The 6941-nt window shown below is 32.8% G+C and overlaps 1 annotated feature.

Annotated features, from left to right (window-relative positions):
- Positions 5661-6250: an enhancer, noted in NCBI's record as "OCT4-NANOG hESC enhancer chr13:84407388-84407977 (GRCh37/hg19 assembly coordinates)". NCBI's record gives its function as "activates a minimal SCP1, AML or CMV promoter by ChIP-STARR-seq in naive H9 embryonic stem cells {active_cell/tissue: H9 hESC(naive)}" and the evidence as "EXISTENCE:reporter gene assay evidence [ECO:0000049][PMID:30033119]".

Raw genomic sequence — 6941 nt, 5'->3', positions numbered from 1 at the left:
GCATCATGAACAAAGTGGAGTCATCAACAATGGATCCCAGAAAGCGGCTATTTCATCTGCATTTAAATGATACTCTGCAAAGGCTCTGCCCTGGGCAGGGTTTGTCTTGGGGCTGGATAGTGACATAAGGGCATCAAAGCCACTGAAGCATTCAAAGACTGCAAAGTAAACAAAGTAAATGCTGTTAGGAGAAACTGAAGCAGAATGCTAAGTGATTTAGCAGAGTTTTATGGTGCCTGAAAATTCCTAAAGCCGATTCATGAATCTGACGCAGAAAGGAGATAGGTTGCTTTCTGTATAATTGGAAAGGATATAGCAACAGGTTCTGCAAGAGCAGTTGCTGGGGGAATCCAGAGAAACCTCTTTGCATGTTTGCATGTTGTTTTTGATTTTAAAAAATTTTCTTAAATGATGTCAATCATACCTCCTCCAATTTAAAGAAATAATAAAGAACAACATTTTACTGAGCACTAAGTCCAGATGTAATACACAGTTCTTGCTCAGACGCATGGCATAGGGCAAACTAACAAACTTGCAACAAGTACTTAGAATTACAGAGAGAACAAATTGAGTATGTTTCAGTGTTATTTTCTAAGCAGTAAAATCTACCAGCCCATAGAATCATCGCCTAAAGGAAGTGAGTAAAGTACATTATTAGAATCACTTAAAATTTGTTGAACAAAACGTGGAAGAACACTTTGGAGGAAACAGCAAAAATGTAAAGAGAATAGTTCCCATTCTCTTGATATTATTTACGTTGCTGCTCTCTTTATCTGCATTCCCCCCTCCAATTGGAATATAAGTATATGGAAGTTCTTTCCATTTTTTATGTACACATTACAGTATTTCGCCTGGTTCTTGAGTTAGGACATATGGTGTAATAGGCTAGGGACCAATGTAATATATTTTATCTTTTCTTTTTTTATCAGTCGTTTTCGGAAGTTAACATATGTTCATCTCACTAATACATTGATTTTTGTAGTAGTCTCGTTCTTTTAAAATCCGTCATCATCAATATGGCTCATTAGGAAAAAGAGGCTGGCAAGGAAATTTTTCTTAAATGTTGAAAGTGAGGAATCGTCCTCTGCCAGTGCACCTGTCTGCAATTCTTACAGTCATTTTAATTTGGTTCTACGTGGTTGCCACAAGCGTGATTTTCATACTGAACAGTTAAGACAAAATTATGATTCTTGTAGTGTTGTACATTATGATAATATGACCTACATAGTTTGAAAGTTGCATGGGGATAGAGGTGTTTTAAGAACTTTGGAATATAGCATCACATGGCAGTAGTCCACATTAATGGTCAAGAATTTAGAAAAGCAAGTAGCTTGCAGTCCTTTAGGTAAGATGTGACGAAGATGCAATTCTCAAGTTGATGGAAATTTACCCAGTAATTTAATTAGGACTAAATTATTTTTAAGTCTTACTCATGAAAAAATAAATTGTTTAGAGAAATGAAGGACTACTATAATTTGCAATTTCGAGTCTTCAAAAAAGTATATTATAATCTTGATCTAAGCCATCGTTTTTAATACTATTTCTATTAATGCTTTAGAATCATTTTACACCTCTATATTCAAAATGCAGTCATACATTTTATGCCATGAAATTTTCCCAGAAATGTTATATGCTATTTTCTCCATTCTATAAGATAGGAGCTGAGGCTTAGAGAAATTAAATCACTTAATTAGTAAATGGTAGAGCTAAGATTAGAACCCAAACTTTCCATACCTTGTTGTCCTTTCCTTTTCCGTGCATTAAGTACACAGTTGGTTTTAATTAGATCAGCCTTGGTTAGTTCACATGTAGAGAACATTCGAGAACTCTGCAATGCATTTTGAACTTGTGCCTATTATTGAAATATGTACAATTTGCCCTCCTTCCTACTGTTCCATTCCAAACTTCCACTTTTGTCTCATCCTCATCTTAGTTTTCAGTAATAATGAAACAGCTTAAGCTGTATTCTTCTGGAAATAACTTTATCTCACTACAACAACAGCAGGTATTTTGTAATTTAACCCTATTTTGAAATCTTGATGTTTAATATTTGTATAAATTTAAGAGGTAAAAGTGAAGTTTTGTTACATTGATATATTGCATAGTGGTGAAGTGTGAGTTTTAGGGTAACCATCAGCGGAATATTTACATTGTACCCATTAATTAATTTCTCATCTCTTACCCCACTCCCACCTTCCCATTTTTTGTGTCTTTGATGTCAATTTTTCTACACATTATGTCCATGTGCACAAATTTTTTTTAAAGCTCCCACTAAAAGTGAGAACATGTGGTATTTGACTTTCTGTTTCTGAGTTGTTTCATTCAAGTGAATGAACTCAAGTTCCATCCATGTTGCAGCAAAAGACATGATTTTATTCATTTTTGTGGCTGAATAGTATTCCATTGTGTATGTATGTGTATCCAATCATCCATTGATAGACACTTACGTTACTTCCACATCTTTGCTATTTTTACGTATGTATGTATGTATGTATGTATATATGTGTTATCCAATCATCCATTGATAGACACTTATGTTGCTTCTACACCTTTGTTATTGTGAACAGTACTGCAACAAACATACTGGTGCAGATATCTTTTTAATGTAATGATTTATTTTCTTATGGGTAGATGTTCAGTAGTAGGATTGCTGGATCAAATCATAGTTCTGTTTTTAGTTTCTTGAGAAATACTCCTACTCTTTTCCATAGAGGTTATACTAATTTAGATTCCCATGAACAGTGCATAAGAATTCCATTTCTCTGCTTCTTCACCAACATCTGTTATTTTTTTACTTTTTCATAAAAGCCATTCTGATTGGTATGATATCTCATTGTGCTTTTAATTTGCATTTCTCTGAAGACTAGTGATGTTGAGCATTTTTTCATATGTTTGTTGGCTATTTTTAGGTTTTTTTTTTTTTTTTTGAAAAATGTCTATTCACATCCCTTGCCCACTTTTTAATAGGGCTATGTGGTTTTACTTTGATGTTGAGTTACTTGAGAACCTTGTAAATTCTGAATATTAGTCCCCTGTTGGATGCATAGTTTTGCAAATATTTTCTCCCATTTCGCAGCTTGTCTGTTCAATTTATTGATATTTCTTTGGCCATGCAGAAGCTTTTTAGTTTAATTAAGTCCTATTTGCCTATTTTTGTTTTAGTTGCTTATACTCTTGAGGTCTTAGTCATGAATTCTTTGCCTAAGCCAATGTCCAGAAGAGTTTTCACCAGGTTTTCTTTTAGTATTTTATAGTTTCGGGTCTAATGTTTAACTCTTTAATCCATCTTGAATTGACTTTTGCATATCATGAACAATAGGAGTCCAGTTTTATTTTTCTGCATTTGGCAATCCAATTTTACCAGGACCATTTATTGAAAAGGCTGTCCTTTCCCCAGTACATGATTTTGTCAACTTTGTCAAAGATCAGTTGGCTATAAATATGTGGCTCTCTTTCTGGGTTCTTTGTTCTGTTTCATTAATCTATGTGTCTATTTTTATATCACTACCATGCTCTTTTTGTCACTATAGCCTTGTATAATTTGAAGTTAGGTAATGTGATGCCTCTAGCTTTTTTCTTTTTACTCAGGATTGCTTTGGCTAGTCAGGCTCTTTTTTGGTTTCATATTAGTTTTAGGATTGTTTTTTCTAATTCTGTGATAATGTTAGTATATTGATAGGAATTGCATTGAATTTGGAGATTGCTTTGGGCTTTATGGTCATTTTAACAATATTAATTTTTTTCAATCTATGAGCATGCGATGTTTTTCTATTTGTTGATGTCAATCTACAATTTCTTTCATCTGTGTTTTTTAGTTTTCCTTGCAAAGATTTTTCAATTAAATATATCCTTAGTTAGATATATACCTAGGTATTTTATTTTTTTATTGTTATTGTGAATCAGATTGCCTTCTTAATTTGATTCTCAGCTTGATCATTATTGGTATATAAAAATGATACTAATTTTTGTACATTAATATTTTATCCTGAAACTTTCCTGAATTAATTTATCAGATTTAAAAGTTGAAATATTTATCTGAAGAAGCATTTATTTAGTCAAAGGTAGGGGTTGTATGTACAAATAAAATGTGTCCTGAGACATTTCTGCACACATTTTGTTTTAATAGTAAAGTGACAAGACTGTCATCATTTTCTTAAGCCAAAATTAGGACTCATGCCTTGAAAATCTTGGCATACAATGAAACACAATACATGAAATTAGAAAAGCTGTGGAAAATCCAATACATCATGCATAGAATAAACACTGTTGTTTTCTCTAGGTAGTCTTTGCTGACCTAAGCTACACTAGATTTTTCTCACTATAAATACTCAGCTTCCTCTTTTTCTTTACAGAATACTATCACAATATTAATTTTAAAATGTGTTTTAATTTGCATAACAGCAAGAATTATATGCAGAATCTCTCATGTTCAATGTAGTATATTTGACATATAACGGGTATTCATATATAACCTTTGATACATGAATGATTGATTATACAAATGTATGAATTAAAAAGCTGGCTGTCCTACGTTCTAACTGTAACCTCTTTCCATACTTGAAGAAGTGACTTCCCAGAACACTCTCCTTCATGATCTAAAAGTATGCCTCAACTAACAGTGCTCTTGAGAGGATAAACTGAAAAGACAATGCATGTGTTTTTGTTTTATATACATTTCAGGTTATATTGAAAATGCACTGTAAATTCTTTAAATTATTTCAGTTCCATAATTTTACATCAAATGCTAACAATTGGAAATGTTTATACTATAATCTCTGAAAGAAACATTTTCATAGGCATATTTTATTTTAACATTTCTATATTGTTTTATGCAGTTTGTTTGTGGTTTTGCTTTGAAACATTTTGTGTTTTCCCTTTAACTTCTTTCTCCATATTTCTATGATATAAATTATAGGTTTTTAAAGTTAAAATTGATCCATTAATTAAATTAAAATTCTACTTGTTTAATCTATTTGCCTCCTTTCTCATAGATTTGAATTAGGTAGTAGCAATGAGTATTCACATGATTTGAATTAATTAAATTTAAGACTAAATGCAGTGCCCATTGTCCTGAGTTAACAACATTTCTTAGTACTGTGACCTAAGTAAATTCTGTATTTGTTGTTTATGTTTTGTTTTATAATGTATTTATATTAAAAAACCTGTATTTTTGGATGTATTTTTAGAAAAACAGATTTACAGGAAACAAACCAAACAAAAAGACTTGTGGTACAAGAAAATTAGAAAATACAGTATATTTAAAATGGACGTGTTAGCTTGTCCCAGGTAAACTCAGTTCAAAATATGGGATAAAAGAGATTTTACTTTTAACTTCGAACAGCTAGAGAATGATATGCAATATGGAATATACGCAGAACTAATATTGAACCAAATACCTACCTGTTTCATAGAAAGTGCGTTGCAGACCTTTTTCAAGAGCTCTTTTCTTCTGTAAAGTGACTGCCAAATGTGATCTTATTTTGGCTGAAGTGTTCTTTTCACCACATTAGGAAAATCTTCATGGTTTCATGTTATTTCCAAATTTCAAGAACTTGCCAGAATTTATATGCTGTACTTCTGCAATTCCATGCAGAATAGTTCAAGTTTGTTAAAGGACAAAACAAAGCTGTATTCATATTTTTATGTAGAATGTTTGTATTATGGGGGTATCTTTCATGCGCGTCCGTGTGAAGAGACCACCAAACAGGCTTTGTGTGAGCACCATGGCTGTTTATTTCACCTGGGTGCAGGTGGGCTGAGTCCGAAAAGAGAGTCAGCAAAGGGAGATAAGGGTGGGGCCGTTTTATAGGATTTGGGTAGGTAAAGGAAAATTACAGTCAAAGGGGGTTTGTTCTCTGGCGGGCAGGAGTGGGGGTCGCAAGGTGCTCAGTGGGGGTGCTTTTTGAGCCAGGATGAGCCAGGGAAAGGACTTTCACAAAGTAATGTCATCACTTAAGGCAAGGACCGGCCATTTACACTTTTGTGGTGGAATGTCATCAGTTAAGGTGGGGCAGGGCATATTCACTTCTTTTGTGATTCTTCAGTTACTTCAGGCCATCTGGGCTTATACGTGCAAGTCACAGGGGATGCAATGGCTTGGCTTGGGCTCAGAGGCCTGACAGTATCAAAAGGGATAAGAAAGTAAATTTTATTAAATTATTATAGCAAAGTAGCTTTTATATTTTGTTGTAGTCTACTAAGCCAAATTTTTGATCTATTCTTAACATAGCTCATTTTCAATTGAATAAATTAATAATATTTAGAAAACAATTTTCTGCAATGAACAGATAACAACTTATTTTATGAATATAATTTGGAATTTCTATAGTATCTCCTCTAAAAAGTTAATGGTGATATTTCATTAAATTTAAATGTCTTATAATTAATTAAATTTGAATATCTTGGAAAGTTAGAAGTCAATAAAGTCAGATATTTACTCGACATCAAAGTAAAACCACATAAAGTTTTTATTGAAACTTTTGATAACATATTTGTTTTACTAAATTTTAAAAAATAATCTACAAAAATACTGAGGTTCACAAGATGCAAATTGATCTATCACTCCAGTATAACTGTTTTTAACCTACTTGTCTTCTTTCTAATACTTTTACAGAATAGTATTGGAGATTGTTTTTCTCTGTGTATGCATAAAAATTGCCCAAAGGACATGCCTGAAACAGCAATCTGTAATTAATCATTGTTCCTCCTCCTGCTCTAGCTCCTGTTCCTCTTTCTTCTTCTTTGTTTCTTTGTGATGCAGCTGATTGCACAGTCAGGCCAGAAGTACATTCTCAGGCAATTTCTGTTTCTCCAATCCATTCAGTTTTTCATTAGCAATATTTTGAGCCATATTATTTGTCAGGCACTATTTTAGGGACTACAGATATTAGTGAATAAGTTGTCCAAAATCCTTCCATTTATGAAGTTAACTTTCATGCCAA

This window comes from Homo sapiens, chromosome 13 (assembly GCF_000001405.40).
Source record: "Homo sapiens chromosome 13, GRCh38.p14 Primary Assembly".
Lineage (NCBI taxonomy): Eukaryota > Metazoa > Chordata > Mammalia > Primates > Hominidae > Homo > Homo sapiens.
The sequence above is the reverse complement of the archived record's forward strand: the minus strand, read 5'-3'. Positions and strand labels throughout refer to the sequence as shown.